This window comes from Homo sapiens, chromosome 17 (genome assembly GCF_000001405.40).
Source record: "Homo sapiens chromosome 17, GRCh38.p14 Primary Assembly".
Lineage (NCBI taxonomy): Eukaryota > Metazoa > Chordata > Mammalia > Primates > Hominidae > Homo > Homo sapiens.
Window position 1 is genome coordinate 50844158 of NC_000017.11, and position 18065 is coordinate 50862222.

The 18065-nt window shown below is 44.7% G+C and overlaps 1 pseudogene, besides 1 other annotated feature; it reads left to right on the plus strand.

Annotated features, from left to right (window-relative positions):
* Positions 263–788: an enhancer, noted in NCBI's record as "H3K4me1 hESC enhancer chr17:48921781-48922306 (GRCh37/hg19 assembly coordinates)". NCBI's record gives its function as "activates a minimal SCP1, AML or CMV promoter by ChIP-STARR-seq in naive H9 embryonic stem cells {active_cell/tissue: H9 hESC(naive)}" and the evidence as "EXISTENCE:reporter gene assay evidence [ECO:0000049][PMID:30033119]".
* On the plus strand, positions 3777–5496 carry RPL5P33 (ribosomal protein L5 pseudogene 33; annotated as a pseudogene).

The window sequence follows — 18065 nt, forward strand, 5'->3', positions numbered from 1 at the left end:
TCGAGGAGATTTGGCCCCAGCCTAGGTCCTGGGACATAACGAAATTGAGGCCCCTTTATCCAGGCTAGACTCACCTGTCTCCTGTCTGCCCTGGATACTCACTCCTCACCTTCCTGCACCCACTTGGCTCTCTCCTTCCTGTTCTGACCCTCAGTTTGCCTCTTCAGAGGACTATTCCCGAGCGGGCCTGTCTCCAGATCAGCCCCCAGGGCCTCTGGGGCAGGGCAGCTTGGCTTTTTCCACCCTCCGCCTCCCCCAGCACCTCCAGCCTGCTAGGACACTCTGCTCCATTGTCTAGCCAGCCGCTCCGTAGTCTGATGTCACCCCCCGGACAGTGGGGCTGGAGAGCAGGGATGGGGTGAACCCTGACTAGAGTCCACAGCATCGGTGATTGCCTTAGGCCGTGGGGAACTCCCTCCGTCCCCTTGTCCTATTGTAAAACAGCAGCATGCTTGCGCACGTCCTATGTGCCAGGTACCAGCTCTTGTAAGCTCCACTGCAACTGGAGGAGACAGAAGGCTATTTTGTAGGTAGGAAAACTAAGGCTAGACGGGATAAGAAACTTGCCCCAAATCGGATGAGTGGCAGAGCCAAGACTTGAATCCTGCCAGTCTGACTTCAGAGTTTTTGTTTTGTTTTGTTTTTGAGATGGAGTCTCACTCTGTCACCCAGGCTGGAGTGCAGTGGCATGATGTCAGCTCACTGCAACCTTCGCCTCCCGGGTTCAAGCGATTCTCGTGCCTCAGCCTCCCTGAGTAGCTGGGATTACAGGCGTGTGCCACCATGCCTGGCTAATTTTTGTATTTTTAGTAAAGACAGAGTTTTGCCATGTTGGTCAGGCTGGTTTCGAACTCCTGACCTCCGGTGATCCGCCTGCCTCGGCATCTCAAAGTGCTGGGATTACAGGCATGAGCCACCGCGCCCAGCCCAGAGCTCTTAATGCTCATGTTATGTTGTTTCTCCTAGTGTGCAACACACACACACAAACACACACACACCCTGCTCTGGGCTGGGCAGTGTGGAGTCCTATCAGGACCCCAAATATCTCTAAAGAGACTGCCTCCCATCAGCACACACATACCACTCAGGGCTGTTTACAACCTCACCCTGTGACAAGTATTTCTATCACACACACAAGCAGTCCTGGCCTAGATTCATCAGCCTTCTGCCTACTCATCCTTCAAGACTCAGCTCCTTGGGGAAGCCTCTGCTGTCCCCCGGCTGTGTGAGCACTCCTCTCTGAGTCCCTCTCCCTCTGTGTTTGTGCTGATCCAGATCAGAATCATTGCCTAGGGCCTCCAGGAAGCTGTGGGCCCAGCTCTCAGAGCTCATGGGGGTGCTTGCTGGGTGAAACAGAGGGTCCTGGGACCAGGGGCCACTCAGCGCTGCTGCACTGAACAACCACAAGCCTAGAAGGGGCCTCTCTGGGGTCCTCCCTCTTTTTCCCAGCTCCACCTCATGTTGCCTCCTCCTCCTCCTCTTCCTCCCACCTCTCTGAAGAGTCTGAAGCTTCCCTCCTACTCTGGAGAATTTGTGATTAATGCAGGCGGGATGGGTGGCAGGGTTCCTGGGCCCTATTCTTGGCTGTGGCCTCATTCTGGAATGTGCCCTGAGGTCAGGTGACACTCCTCACTCAGGCTGTGTCAGGAGGAAGGAAGAGTAAACCTCCAGCTGACATCTCCTGAGGGAGAGGGCAGGGTGGGCAGGTGGGCAAGCCCCTCACCCCTCTCCTGCCTGCCTCCCAGGCTCCTGAGGCCCTCGACCCATTTCAGGGTCACGTTGGAGTCCCTGCGGTCCCGTCCCAAATTACCCCGGGACACGGTACTCCACTAGGTCTCCAGCAATACTCTGGCCACCCTCAACCCCACTCGGATGAGGGAAAGCAGAACCCAGCCCAACATAGACTAGCCTCTCCTGGAGGTGGGGCCTCTTCCCAGGTGTCTGTCAGGGGCAAAGGGGGCACTTGCGTGCTTTCGGCCCTTTTCAGGCCTTGAGGACACTGCCAGAGACCCGACGGGAGGAGGTGGACCCATCCAGATAACTTGTTTTCTGTTTTGATGTGAGGGATGCATCCAATTCTGTCCATAGTCTAAGTGAGAGCAGACGACGGTGACTTTATCTCCTTTCTGGGTGGGTAGCCTGGAAGCGAGGAGGGGCCTAGGGTTTTCTCAAGGACCCTGGGCAGGGGAGAAGCACAGTGCCAGGAGTGGGGTGGACATGAGAATGCTAACCCCTGCGCCAGGCACTTTACGTGGACTGCCCGGTTGAATCCTCCCAACCCTCTGAAGGCACCATATTATTTTACTATTTCACCACTTGGCAGATCACACTCTAAGCTGCAACCTTCAGGAGGGCAAAGACCTATACACCAAACACAAGCCTGACCATGTTCATTAAGTGTTTGTCGAATGAATGAATGAATGGGGCAAGCCCTATAGGCTTTATGGAGGAAAAGAGGCCCTCATAGGTGCTATTTTACAGATGCTGAATCGGAGACTCTAAATGTTTAAAGGACCCAAGGCTATAGGGTCATTAAATGAAAGAGCCAAGATTCAAAGCCAAGTCTGTCCGAATTTGGTACCTGTACCCTTATCACGATATTACATATGTATTTTAACCATCGCAGTTAAAGGCTGAGGACCCCAAATGGCGGTTCCCCTTCTAAACACCCATAACCACCACTTCCAACTGGTCCTTGACCTCTGGGAGTACCAAGGGTTTACAGAAATTTTATAAAGCCATACCCTTCAATACTGTTAGTACTGAATTCATGTAAATGAATTTAAATTAAATAAAAACGTAAAATTCATTTCCTCAGTTACGCTAGTTATGGATCAAGTGCCATGTTTCATGTGGCTGGTAGCTGCCATACTGGACAACACAGACAGAATATTTCCAACATTACAGGAAATTCTATTGCACACCCCTGTTACAAAGGATTGACACAAATTTCTCTTTACTCCCATTGTCTCATGACCCTGATCTCAGCCTCAGTATGCCCTCATCTTTTCTCCTGAAAAGCTTATACATCTTTTTTCTTTTCTCTCTTTTTTTTTTTTTTTTTTTTTTTTGGAGATGGAGTTTCACTCTCTTACCCAGGCTGGAGTGCAATGGTGCAATCTCGGCTCACTGCAACCTCTACCTCCTGGCTTCAAGTGATTCTCCTGTCTCAGCCTCCCAAGTAGCTGGGATTACAGGCGCCCACCATCACACCCGGCTAATCTTCATATTTTTAGTAGAGATAGGGTTTCGCCATTTTGACCAGGCTGGTCTCGACCTCCTGACCTAAGTGATCCACCTGCCTCGGCCTCCCAAAGTGCTGGGATTAGAGGTGTAAGCCACTGTGCTTGGCCAGGTTTATATATCTTCATGCAAATAAAGTTCTTGATGGCCTCCCTCAATACCCCAGAGTTCCCAAAAAGGGACACAAATAAGTGCGCACACACACGCAGCACCAGCAGTCATGACACGCAGGTGAAGATGAGTTCTCCAAACTTTTAGCTGAATATGGTAGGGGTGCTGCTGATGGGAAGGAGACAGTGGGAATGAGAGGCTAAGTCCTCCCATGGCACAGCACAGTGCCCATGACAGCTGCCGCCTCCCAGGAATCAGCCTGCCACCAGGCCAGTTATTCAGCAGCTTTTCAGAGACACCTATGCTGCAGCTGTCATCTTGTTTCTTGCATGGAAGTGCTGACTAAAAGTCTAATAATTATTTTGTTAGTGGTCATTGCTGCTATAAGTGTGCTGCATAAATGTTTAAAAAGAGGGCCCAGGGGGCTCTGTTCTGCAGGATGGGGGTGGTTAAAGACGTCAAGAACTAGGCCTACTTTAAGAGATACACGTGAAATTTAGAAAATGACAAGAGGGTAAAACTGATTACTATCTTTGGAAACCCTTGGTGATATAGGATAAAAACAAGTATAACATGCCCAAATACAGGAAAAGTCATGTAACTAATAGAGATATCATTTGTCAGATTACTTATGCTCACATAGAAGGGGATATGATAGTCTGTACAGCTTATGCACATGAACTGCCAAAATGCAATGTGAAGGTTGGCCTGACAGATGACGCTGCAGCCTGTTGTACCAGCCTGTGCTGACCTGCAGGCTTCTCAATAGGTTCGGCATGGACAAGATCTATGATGGCCAAGAGAAGGTGACCAGAGATGAATTATAATGTGGAAAGCATTGATGGTCAGCCCGGTGCCTTCACCTGCTATTTGGATGCAGGCTTTGCCAGAACTACTATTGGCAATAAAGTTTTTGGGGCACTGAAGGGAGCTGTGGATGGAGGCTTGTCTATCCCTCACAGTACCAAATGATTCCCTGCTTATGATTCTGAAGGCAAGGAATTTAATGAAGAAGTACATCAGAAGTACATCATAGGTCAGAATGTTGCAGATTGGATGCATCACCTAATGGAAGAAAATAAAGATGCTTACAAGAAAGAGTTATCTCAATACATAAAGAACAGTGTAACTACAGACGTGGTGGAGGAGATGTGTAAGGAAGCTCATGCTGCTATACAAGAGAATCTAGCTGTGTTAGTCTGTTCTTGCACTGCTATAAAGAAATGCCCAAGACTGGACAATTTATGAAGAAAAGAGGTTTAATTGGCAGGCTATGCAGGAAACATAGCAGCTTCTGCTTCTGGGGAGGCCTCAGAAAACTTACAATCATGGCAGAAGGCAAAGGGGAAGCAGGCACGTCTTACATGGCTAGAGCAGGAGGAAGAGAGAGAGGGGGGAAGTGCTACATACTTTTAAACATCCAGAGCTCCCAATGACTTCCTCACTCACTATCACGAGAACAGCACTGAGAGGTGATGCCAAACCATTCATGAGAAACTACCCCCATGATCCAGTCATCCCCCACCAGGCCTCTCCTCCAACACTGGGGATTAAAATTTGACATGCAATTTGGTGGGGACACAGATGCCAACCATATCACCAGTCCATGAGAAGAAGCCCGAGAAAGAAGCTAAAAAGAGGAGATAGAACCGTCCCCAAATGTCCCTTGCCCAGAAGAAAGATTGGGTAGCTCAAAAGAAGGCAAGCTTGTTTTCTCTGAGCCCTCTCTTACAAGAGCAGAGGAGCAGACTGCTGAGGGCTAAACCAAACAACAATTTTCTTTCTTTCTTTTTTTTTTTTTTGAGATAGAGTCTTGTTCTGTCACCCAGGCTAGAGTTCAGTGGTGCGATCTTGGCTCAGGGCAACCTCCACCTCCCGGGTTCAAGCAATTCTCCTGCCTCAGCCTCCCCAGTAGCTGGGATTACAGGCAAACCCCACCACACCAGGCTAATTTTTGTATTTTTAGTAGAGACAGGGTTTCACCATGTTGGCCAGACTGGTCTTGAATGCCTGGCCTCAGTTGATCCGCCTGCCTTAGCCTCCCAAAGTGCTGAAATTACAGGCGTGGGACACCACGCCCGGCCCCAGACAACAATTTTCTATGAGGATTTTTCAGATAAAGACAATCAACATATTAAGCAATAAATAAATAGATAAGTAAATAAGGGGCCAGATATTTTAGGCCGCAAGGTCCCCAAATCTCCTTGCTATCCAGGGTGGGCCGGCAGTGAGAAAAGGTCACAGTCATGGCAGAGCATAGGTTCAAATACTGGCTTTGTGACTTTGAGTAGTTAACTTCTCTGTGCCTTAGTATTATCATCTATACAACAGAATAATAATGGTAGCCATAGTGCCTCTCCAGGGTAGTTGGTCCTGGGCCTCATTGCTTCAGTTTGTTGGGGATAATTGCTGTTGCACGTCCCTGCCAATGATTGGAGCAAGAACCAGGAGGGGAGAACAGGCCCCTCTCCCAGAGCAAAGTGAGAACAGATGCAGTCTCCTTTGCTGATAAGGAAAGAGTCCAGGAGGAGGGTAGCTGGAGAAGAGAGGGGGAGAGCAGGAGGGCAGGAATGAGAGGAAAAAGAAGAGGGATGGGGAGATGCATACACACATACGCACACACTCGGGGTTGTGCAGTTGGAGGCCCAGGAAGAAAAGATAAAGTGTAGTAATTTGGTTAGAGATGAGGAACCTCTGAGACCTCCATGGAGGCCCTAAGAATATTTCTGAACCCTTCATTCCCAGCTCCAACACCTCGGGGCACAGAACTAAGCTCTCAATGACCCCTTATTTCAAGTGCCACTCTCCATCTCAATGTACCACAAGGGGCAACAGAATAAAAGGGGAAACAGCCTTAGGACCCTGGTATGATCAATAACAGACTCAAAGCAATCCTCACAATCATTACAACCAGCAATTTTACCCTGTGACCCTAATAAGCGCTGAAGCTGGTGTTTATGGATGACTAGAACACAGCTTTAGTGAGACTTACACGGATGGTAACCCATCCCTGTCCCAGACCTCATAGAAGGTGGGCACCCTTTACCAATTAGATGCCCTTTTGGTAGGGTTAATAATTTCCATTACTAATAGCTTACAGCACTTAATATGTGTTCAACATGCATTATCTCATTAAATATTTACAACCCTGTGATGTGTATATTTTTCACCTCCATTTAATAACCTGTCCATTTCAGAGATAATGAAACTGAGGCTCAGGGAGATTGAATAATTTTCCCAAAGTCCCTGGCCAAGCAGGGAACCAAACCTAGGCGTGTCTATATGACTCCAAAGGCCACGTACTTAACCGCATGTGTGATATTTTCCACCACAGATTCAAGAACAGTCAAGTCTGGTTTCGTCTCATTTTTGTGTCCTCCCTTCTCCCTGCTAATATACCAGGAAGTTTTACTTCCTAGGATTCTCATGAAAAGGCACGTTTATAGCCAGCTGACCTCCCCTAAATAGGCTGAGCACATGCCCTTGAGGCTAAGCCGTGCGGGGAGAGGTGGAGGATTTGAGCCCTCTCTCACCACAGAGTAAAGAGAGTGCAGGTTATTCTATGTAGGGAAGAGGATTATGCTGAATGCTTTATTTATCTTACATGCTCATCACACCAACCCTAACAAGTAGAATTTGGAACCCTTTTACAGTTAGGAAATCTGAGGTGGAATCGTTTTAACAGTGCACTGCTATTTAAGGTTGAGTTTGAGATTTGATTCAAAGTCTGACCCCAGGCCAGGCGTGGTGGCTCACACCTGTAATCCCAGCATTTTGGGAGGCCGAGGCAGCGGATCACCTGAGGTCTGAAGTTTGAGACCAGCCTGGCCAATATGGTGAAACCCCGTCTCTACTAAAAATACAAAAAAATTAGCCGGGCTTGGGGCTGGGCACCTGTAATCCCAGCTACTCAGGAGGCTGAGGTAGGAGAATCCCTTCAACTCAGGAAGCAGAGGTTGCAGTGAGCCGATATTGCGCCACTGCACTCCGGCCTGGGTGATAGAGCAAGACTCTGTCTCAGAAAAAAAAAAAAAAGGAAAAAAAAAAGTCTGACCCCAAAGCCCACGTTCTTTCTCATAGAGGATCACGAGGAGTAATGTTATTTGGAGGCTGAATGAAGCCCCCTACACCACTCTAGAGCATTCTTACATCTGCAGGGGAAATTGTGGGGCCTAAACATGTGTCCCCGCTGGTCAAGTGAGTGTGAGACAAGGATCAGACGCTGGTGTCTTCTGTGCCAAAGCAGGATCCACACTCTGTACAGAATAGTGATGCTCTCTGAACAGTCCCAGGTCACATGAAGGAGTTTGGCCAGCTTGTGGTGGTATTTTCAGTGGATGACAGAGTGCTCAGCCACCAAGAGAACTTAGGGAAGCCTGGGGAAGGGCATTGCCCGGGGAAGTGACCCAGGCGAAAAGTTATTTGGGAATGTTAATTTCTGGCTGAAATTTATACAAAGCTTTCCCTTCAAAGCCTCATTCTTTGATTTATGTTCAAACCGGAAGATATTACAAGCACCCAAAAAGCCAAACTGGAAAAGGAAACTGCAGAGCTCCACAGACTTGTTGCCTTGGCCAGGGGTAGGGTGTGGCGATGGGAGTGGCAACTGGGAGTGACCTGGGGGTGTCTGAGTTTGTGCAATGAACACGCACTTTCCACCAACACCAACTTCTGGAGGGGTAGTACCTGCTGTGAGCCCTGACATCACAAAACCAAAAGAGGCTTTGTCACTAAAGGTAGGAAAACAAATGAGATGACCCCTAGAGGGAGCTTCTAGCCTGAGGAAGTTTCTAGATTAAGCATGAAACTGAAACTGTCTTAAAAGGAAGGAATTCGACATCCCTCTGACACAGCCTGACGCCCCTCTCAGTCCCACCTTTTCTTTCCTTGGACTTCTTACTGGTCCTCCCCATCTCACTCCTGGGTTTGATGAATAAAGAAGTTTTAAACTATTTCTCTTTCATAATGTTTCTGTACAAAGCTTGAAACAGTGAAAAAATAAGTTAAAATGTTCAAATTCAAAGGCAGGTTCTCCCAGGAGAGATGGGCTGGCAGCAGAGCTTCTATTTCTGATTTCCTCTGCCTTTTTCCCCAAGGGTTAGCAGCACACATTCTTCCTACTGTGGCTACATCTGATGAAGAACACACACACACACACACACACACACACACACACACACACACCAGGACCAAGGTTTTCCTCTCAACTGCCTGTTCCTCCACTGGAGCTGGGAATTTGAGGGAGCCCAGGCTTCCCCGGGTGCTTCCAGTGGACATTGTACCCATTCTTCATAGCTGGATATCTCCCCCCAGATCTAGCATCCCTAAGATAGGCACAGTCTCACCCTTTTTTGTTCATACCCCTACATTTTCCTGTGTATTATGATTATTTGGGCGTGTGTGTTATCGTTTGCTAGAATGTAAGCTCCTTTAGAGGTTCCGAAGGATTGTATATATCACTGCCAGTTCCTAACGCAGGAGATGCTTAATAAATGTGTTGAGTGGATGAATACAGGAGCTGTTTTTAATCATATCTCACCTTGTTTGAGAAAGAATTTAGGGACAAGAATGGAATCTGAGCCCAGGGCAGCCACTTGAGTCAACATCACCCTTTTGCTATCACAAGTACTAGTAAAGCTCAGGACCCAAGACTTCAGTATGTGAAGTGCCTATAGTTGCTTCTCAACAAATCTAATCATCCAGAGAGCAGTCGCAATGTAAGTAAGTAAAGCTAGCACGTAGCCCTCAAACTCATATCTTACTCCATTGTGTTTTTGCAACCGATTTCCCTTTCCTAATTGTGCCTGGCAAAGGCTGATAGCAAAATAAGTTTGGGATTGCTGAGCAAACAATCACAAGTGAGGTTTGCAGGAGAGGGGGACTGGGCACAAAGTGCAGCTTAGATGACTTCTAAATAATCAGGTGGGGCTCTTTTTATAAAATCGACCGGTTGAGGTCAACCAAGGGAGCAGGATAGTGTAATGGTTAAGGATCATGGACTTTGGAAACAGAATCCCACAGTTCAAATCCTAGCTCCGCTGGCTGTGACTGTTGCAAGCTCTCTGCCTCCACTTATATATCTGTAAATGGGAGAAACAGTACAACCTTCAGAGGGTTGTTATGAAGTTGAACTGAATTTAAATGGGGCAGTATCTAGCACATAGTAAATTCATATAAGGGTTGCCATTATTACTACTGAGCTTTTGGGGTTGGTCATTCCCTCTGGATTCCATAAGACTTTGTGATAGTATAAAAATCATCCTTCAAATAGGCAGTGCTTTACGTAGGAGCAGTTCCCCATCCTCCTTGAAAATCTGGGAAAAAAACACGCGCACAATCTTTGGGAAATGGCGGTGTCAGAACTTCTGCAAAGCCTCCTTCCGAGGAAACTGATCTCCAGGGCAAGTTGTCAGGCAGTGTATGCATAAGCTCTCTCCTTTACTGTCCTTTCCACCTTTCCCAGGCCCTGGAAGCAAAGGCAGATAGAAGACATAACACCCTGGTCCCTTGCCGGCTGCCAGACCCTTCTCCTTTGGCAGATGCTCCTGGGGAGATAAGCTCTCACCTCCATCTCTCTATTCCTTTTACACAGAACCCAAAAAGTTCTTTGAACTTTAGTGGTTCAGAAAATAAACAAGAATCTTCTTTCTAAGTTACCAAAAAAAAGTTTCCTTCCTTTCTTCCAGCCTTTTTCAAGATTCACAAAGAAGAATTTCCCCAGGTAAAAATCTTTTATAGCTGTGTGAAAACTGTTTGTTCTCAAAGTCTTTAGTTAAAGAGCCTCTGGTGACACCTTAGTTTCTAGAAAGGTTGACTGCAAAGATTGCAGCTATCTTAAACCTTGTATTAAAATGGTTTAAGAGATTCCTATCATGTTTTCTGGAAATAAAAAGAAATTAGAATAAAGTAAGTCACCAGGGCTCCACAAAACTTTAGAATGGCAGGTAGTTTGCAAAACTAGGAGAGTTCTTTTTGGGAAAAGAGATTTGAGGGCAGTAGGCAGATCTGGATAATCAGAGTGAAGAAAGAATAGGCATTGTCATTACAAAACAAAACAAAATTCAACCTTCATCCTTACTAAAAATGCATCGATGGGGCCGAGCGCAGTGGCTCACGCCTGTAATCCCAGCATTTTGGGAGGCCAAGGCGGGCAGATCACGAGGTCAGGAGTTCGAGACCAGCTTAACCAATATGGTGAAACCCCGTCTCTACTAAAAATACAAAAATTAGCAGGGCGTGGTGGCACGTGCCTGTAATCTCAGCTACTCAGGAGTATGAGGCAGGAGAATTGCTGGAACCCGGGAGGCGGAAGTTGCAGTGAACCGAGATTGCGCCACTGCACTCCAGCCTGGGTGACAGAGTGAGACTCCGTTCCCCCTCCAAAAAAAAAAAAAAAGGAAAAAGAAATGCATTGATGGCTAGTGGAGGGGTGGCAAGGGAAAGCCATCTGAAAGGAATACCTGCATTTAGTGCAAAACAGAAAAAGATGTTCCTATGCCTGGAAACTACTGAACCTGTGTCACAAGGTGTCTGGATACTGTACTAAAGTGTACAATATTTGCAGGGTAGGATGATTCCATTTCTTTCTTTTTCTTTTTTTTTTTTTGAGATGGAGTCTTCCTCTGTCGCTCAGGCTGGAGTGCAGTGGTGCGATCTCGGCTCACTGCGACCCGCCTCCTGGATTCCAGTGATTCTCCTGCCTCATCCTCCCCAGTACCTGAGATTACAGGCACGTGCTGCCATGCCCTGCTAATTTTTGTATTTTCAGTAGAGACGGGGTTTCACCTATTGGTCAGGCTGGTCTCAAACTCCTGACTTCATGATCCGCCTGCCTCAGCCTCCCAAAGTGCTGGGATTACAGGCATGAGCCACCACACCCGGCCAGTAATTCCATTTCTTAAATCATACTGATATGATACTGATAGCATTCCTTTCTATCAATATACAGAAGTCATTTACTTATACTCACCATTTGCTAGAAAACAAGCTAGACTGATGCCACGTCCATTCTTGACACTCTTTCTTTCTGGCCTAAAGGAAGCACAAAATCGTTTTAAGTCAGTCTTCACACTCCAAAAGAGTGTGCAACATAATTTTCCAGCTTTCTCACTAGCACTAAGAAAGAGGAAAAAAAGACCTCAAAAGCTATAGAAGGGCATGTGGAGAATCAGAGTTTAAAAATAGCTGCAACCTGATGGCCAGGAAGGAAGTTTATGTTTAACATTCAGTGCAAAAAACAAAACAAAACAAAACAAAACAAACCCCACATGAAATCAATGTCTAGCTCATTTTGTCAATGTGGTTTTTCCACAATTATTTTTGAAACACTTGAAAAGTGTATAGGCAGAAGGGATGCGACCTACGGTATATGCCAAAGTTTGTCTAAAAATATTTTACACCTGTTCTCTGTACTGCACACTGGTCATATTTTATCAGTGAAGTAAGTACTCATAATGCCAGACGGAATGTGTTTTTCCTTCCAAGTCCTCTATGTTTTTCCCTTTGGTAAAGCGAACCTCCTCTTCTTTTCTACCTGCACTAAAATAAAGCTAGCACCATTATCCATGTGACGTATCCACCACCAAGCTACATTTTAACTACTATTCCTCAGGCAATATTGTTTAAATAAGAACAACTATGTCAATATTTTTCACAACAGCAAGGACATTTTAACTTAGCAAACACTTATGGCTGCTCCCAAAAGGAAATGTCAACTAGTATACTGAGTTTTAATCAACTTGCCAACTGTATGAAAAAGAATGCACTAGTTGCCTTCAGTGCTTCAAAACTAGAAATACAAACTCCGTGATACTTATTCTTATGAAAATAATTATACTTATTTTATGAAACATGAGCTTTTAGAATATTACTGTAGAATTTCAATTTTCTGTTGACGCAAATAACTGACAGCAACATGTTCACATAAGGCAGTTATAATCTTCATTTACTTTCCTCATTTTAAAGGGCAGCGAACATGGCTAGAATTCTGGACTTTATGGCTTCTAAATACTGTGAGCCCCTATGGACACATGTTCTATTAGTTGACTGACAACTCTTAATAGCAAATGATTAGTTCTCATAGCTCCTCAGGGAAGCATATTGGTATCACTGTACTCATTTTGCAGATGAATAAACTGAGCCATCTGAATCAAATGACTTCATACAATTCAGCAAGGAATTTAGACCTGTAGTTTCAGTTAGCCACTAGACAACTAGACAGGGACTGCCTGTTGATTAAATGTTTTCGTCTAAGGTTTGCCTAATTGTGAGATGATCTCAAAGTTCTCACTAACAGACTATATATACAAACCAAGTCCTCTAAGACATAAAATCTTAAAACTTCAAATACTGAGAAATGGTTAATGTAGGTTTTACTATTAATACTTACGAGTCAAATTCCATTAATAAGACTTTCAGCCCAATCTAAACCACCTAAAGCTCAACTAAGGGGTCAGCAATATTTGCTTCAATCAAATGCCAACTAACCCAACAATGTAAACAGTATTTAGTATAACAGGATTTAATCCACATAGAAACTACAGAAATTCTCCTGAGCCTTTTTTTTTTTTTTTTTTGAGATGGAGTCTTGCTCTGTCGCCCAGGCTAGAGTGCAGTGCCTGGTTCACACCATTCTCCTGCCTCAGCCTCCCGAGTAGCTGGGACTACAGGCGCCCGCCACCACACCCGGCTAATTTTTTGTATTTTTAGTAGAGACGGGGTTTCACTGTATTAGCCAGGATGGTCTCGATCTCCTGACCTCGTGATCCGCCCACCTCGGCCTCCCAAAGTGCTGGGATTACAGGCGTGAGCCACCGCGCCCGGCCTTGGCCTTTCTTTAGAGTGTTTATCAATAAGCACAGACAAGGAATGGTTGTGAAAATAGCAACAGGAGGTTAACGGTTACAACTTTACTTGTAACCGACCACTAAATGTAGTCAGGGAATCATCCAGTAGTTCTGAAAAGAGATGTAATTTATATGACTGAATTATGAAAACCAAAAAAACTAGAGCATTGCTAGGTGTGGTGGCTCACGCCTGTAATCCCAGTACTTTGGGAGGCCGAGGTGGGCAGATGACCTGAGGTCAGGAGTTCGAGACCAGCCTGGCCAATATAGTGAAACCCTGTCTCTACTAAAAATACAAAAATTAGCTGGGTGTGGTGGTGTGCACCTGTAATCCCAGCTACTCAGGAGGCTGAGACAGGAGAATCGCTTGAACCTGGGAGATGGAGGTTGCATGGGAGGTAGAGGTTGCAGTAAGCCAAGATTGTGCAACTGCACTCCAGCCTGGGCAACAGAGCAAGACTCCATCTCAAAAAAAAAAAAAAAAAAAAAAAAAAAAAAAAAACAAAAAACTAGAGCAATGATATAACAATGATTTCTAAAAACATTTCCTTATTGCCTATGAGTTCAGTTTATGACCAATAGAAATATAAAGTCTCACTCAAAATATCATCATGGCATATTCTGAGCATGGTTAATAGCCTTCCACTAGACCCCTCTCATTAACACTTTTGTAAAGATTCTGCAAATTACGTAGCTAATACATCGAAAATGGTGTTATTACCCTGACTTCAAATCAGAATAGCAACTAATCTGAGGGAGCAAAGCATAGTGCTTAAGAGCGTGAACTCTGGAACCACTACCTGCATTTGAATCGCTAGTCTGCCATGTATTGGCCATGCAATCTTGGGTCAGTGAAGCTTTCTGTGCCTCAGTCCCATCCCCCTCCCCCTGACCCAGTCTATAAACTGGGTTAGAACTACACTTGACACATAGTAAGTGCTATATGTTTATTTCCTGATTTAAAAGATTTTTAAAAATGGCTCCAACTACATGTTTACATAAGCCACTCAAAAATGGTTTCAAACTGGGCATGCAATTGGAAAATGTGCTAATTTTCCAATTGTATGCCCACAGATAATTGATCCTAAATCATTTAAACTACAAGATATAATCTTCCTAATATACCACAAAAACTAAAGCACTCTGATCTCAAATGACCTCCTGGGCCAAACTGATTAAGCGTCAATTGATTGGTATACTAAACAATGCAATGGGTTTTATTCAGCAGTGACCATTTTACATACTTGTCTTCTGTTTTTCTTGTATCTGTTTTTGCACTAGAGTTGTCACCCAGCATCTGACAAAAGCATGCATTTCCAGTCAAGCAAGGGTACGTATCTGATGTAGCATGCCTATGCCATTTTCTGTTTGTGTACCGAAAGGATATAAAGGAAGGTCTACCAACCGGCATTTTACTTCATTAGCTTAAGTATGTCCAATGAGACATACTTTGTTTCTTTCTGTGTCACAGTGACTTATTTTAAAATAATCGAAGTCCTGAAGATTTATTAAGTCTCTCAATTAAAATGCCAGACATGTATATGGGAACGAAATTTACACCCGATTGGAAAAACATTATTTTATTTTATTTTTTTGAGACTGAGTTTCGCTCTTCTCACCCAGGTTGGAAGGCAGTGGCACAATCTTGGCTCACTGCAACCTCCGCCTCCGGGTTCATGTGATTCTCCTGCCTCACCCTCCCAGCCTGTAGCTGGGACTACAGGTGCATGCCATCACACCTGGCTAATTTTGTGTTTTTAGTAGAGATGGGTTTCGCCATGTTGGCCAGGCTGGTCTCAAACTCCTGACCTCAAGTGATCCACCTGTCTCGGCCTCCCAAAGTGCTGGGATTACAGGTATGAGCCACAGCACCTGCCCTGGAAAAATATTTTAAACTCAGAGTACCTTTAGTTTCACCTTCAAAAGCTAAGTTAACTAATCACAGCATATATTGTTATCTTTAAGGAGGCATTTTGAAGAAGGCCTATATTTACATTTGCCATCTATTATAGGCGAAAAGGACATTTCACAATGTACCTGATTTCAGAAACGACAAGGCAGGGCAGAAAACGAATATACTAAACTTAGAAAGCCATTTTTTGGTATAATATTCCTTACTCATCCATGAGCTATGAAATCTGTAAGGCAACATTTTGGACACTCAGGGTATTCAGAGGCTGCTACAGTATCTGTAGTTATAGGAGTCAAAAAGATGGGAAAGGCCTGTGAAAATAACGAATTCATCAAATTGTCAACCGAAATGGTCTCCCCACAGAGAGTCAAAAGTGTGATGGCACCTTGGGGAGAAAATGACTTGGAACTAAGATGTAACCTTTTCTCAGATGTGCTAGGCAAAAGCACCTTTTAAAAAATTCCCATTCCTAATGAACAAAAAGGGCATGTAAACAGGGCCTTTGTTCATTTTTTAAAAAATTATGAAGTCCTCGCTGGATGCGTTGGCTCGCACCTGTAATCCCAGCATTTTGGGAGGCCAAAGCGGGAGGATCATGAGATCAGGCGATCGAGACCATTCTGGCCAACCCCGTCTCGTCTCTACTAAAACTATAAAAATTAGCTGGGCGTGGTGGCGCGCGTCTGTAGTCCCAGCTACTTGGGAGGTTGAGGCAGGAGAATCACTTGAACCCGACAGGCGGAGGTTGCAGGGAGCCAAGATTTCACCACTGCACTCCAGCCTGGCAACAGAGCGAGACTCTGTCTAAAAAAAAAAAAAGATGAAGTTCTCAAGGACACCAAGCTCAAGTTTTAATAAAACCAATCAAGATCACATTTTGAGTTAGTCATTCTCCGATGTCAAACATATGTACCAAGATGAAATTTCCCTAAGATTTTTGTCGATACATATATCCTTAAGATCTGAAACAGATATTCAGGCTTATGTTAACCTCAGTATTTAAAATCTGAATATATTAGTGCTTGGCTGGGTGTGGTGGCTCACGCCTGTAATCTCAGCATTTTGGGAGGCCAATGCGGGCGGATCACCTTAGTTCAGGAGTTTGAGACCAGCCCAGGCAACGTGGCGAAACCCTGCCTCTACAAAAAATACAAAAATTAGCAGGGAACGGTGGCACGCAGCTATAATCCCAGCTATTCAGGAGAGTGAGACAGGAGAATCGCTTTAGTGGAGGTTGCAGTAAGCCAAGATGGCCCCTTTGCACTCCAGCCTGGGTGACAGAGTGAGACCTTGTCTCAAAATAAAATGAATATATTAGTGCTCCAGACAGTTTCAAATTCTATTGTTGACCAGGCGCAATGGCTCATGCCTGTAATCAGAGCACTTTGGGAAGCCAAGGCAGGCAGCTCATTTGAGGCCAGGAGTTCGAGACCAGCCTGGTCAACATGGTGAAACCCCGTCTCTACTAAAAATACAAAAATTAGCCAACATGGTGGCGGGCGCCTGTAGTCTCAGCTACTCGGGAAGTTGAGGCAGGAGAATCACTTGAACCTGGGAGGTGGAAGGTTGCAGTGAGCCGAGATGGTGCCACTGCACTCCAGCCTGGGTGACAGAGCAAGAGACTCCGTCTCAAAAAAAAAAAAAATTCTATTATGTTCCGTCCAGCTGCCTTATGATTTTCAGAAAAAGCACATTACACTTGAGCCTTCATTTATAAGTAGAGTTTTCTCCCAAATGTAACTTTATCAGTCTGTAGCAGAAACTAGTGCTTAAAGCCATTATCCTGATGGTTCTTACAGCTATTCAAACTTCGTGATCACAAAAGCATGTAAGTGGTAAGTGTTGGCAGACCAGATCTCTGCTGCTTGCACCCATTATTCCAATACTTCTTCATAGCCTCGTTCTGTTCCCTAAAGAACAAAAGCCTCACCATGGAGCTGACAAACAGCTTAGCTCTGTTATTTCCAGTGCTTGTTTCCTTAAAACTTTGTATTGCTCTACACTGCATGGGTAAATGACAAAAGGCTTTTGTAGACTGGTGTCCAAAAAGCTCATGAGACCAAATTTATTTCACTGGTAACCCAGGCAGTGCTGGTTTCTTACTATAAAAGTACATATAAAGTTTTTTAAGACAGCTTTCTCACCAATACTATGTCAACACTGTATCAAATGGACGTTAACTTTCTCACCAATACTATGTCAATACTGTATCAATTGACATTTAGTGAAATGACTCATTTAGTGTTCTTCTCCCCAACTCTTCAGTTTTAAAAAACTCCATCCTCACCAAGCCACTCCAATTTGATACATTGTCAATATCTCTAAATCCTTCAAACCAGCAGGTTGGGTACCCACTTGCAAAAAATTAAATACATAAGCGTTTTTGCTGGGAAAATGAAAATGCTAACATCTAACCATCTGTCCAGCCGTGAATAGATTTTGACCATAAGTTCTCTAGCTATATGCAATAGCTAAACTTTAAAGATTAGTAAAGTGATGTAAATTTTTCTAAGTTCAGTCAGCCGTTTTGTCCAAGCAAGTTTCCTCAGCAAAAACAGAAAACTGATCCAATGCTCTCTCCATATAAATTTCAAATAAATCATCTCAGATTACACGAAGGAATTTCATCTTATCACCTGACTCCTCCATGTCAGCATGACATTTTGAAACTTGCTGTATAGCTAACCTTACCATACCATCTCTATAATGGGGTAGACAAATGTGGACTGAAGAGGGCTGTTAAAAAATAAAGTTGTACCAAGCACTGGTCAGGCTATAGTTTTGATAGCATTTTTTATGTGGCAAACCACGATCTGGTACATCAGTAGAGCAACTGCTTTCCATTATTCCTTCGTGACTCAATGAGTCAGGCCTTTTTCCATCATTAGCATTTACAACATAATAACTCCAGAGGTCGATCTTCAGAAAACACTTAAAAACAAAGACAATAGGCA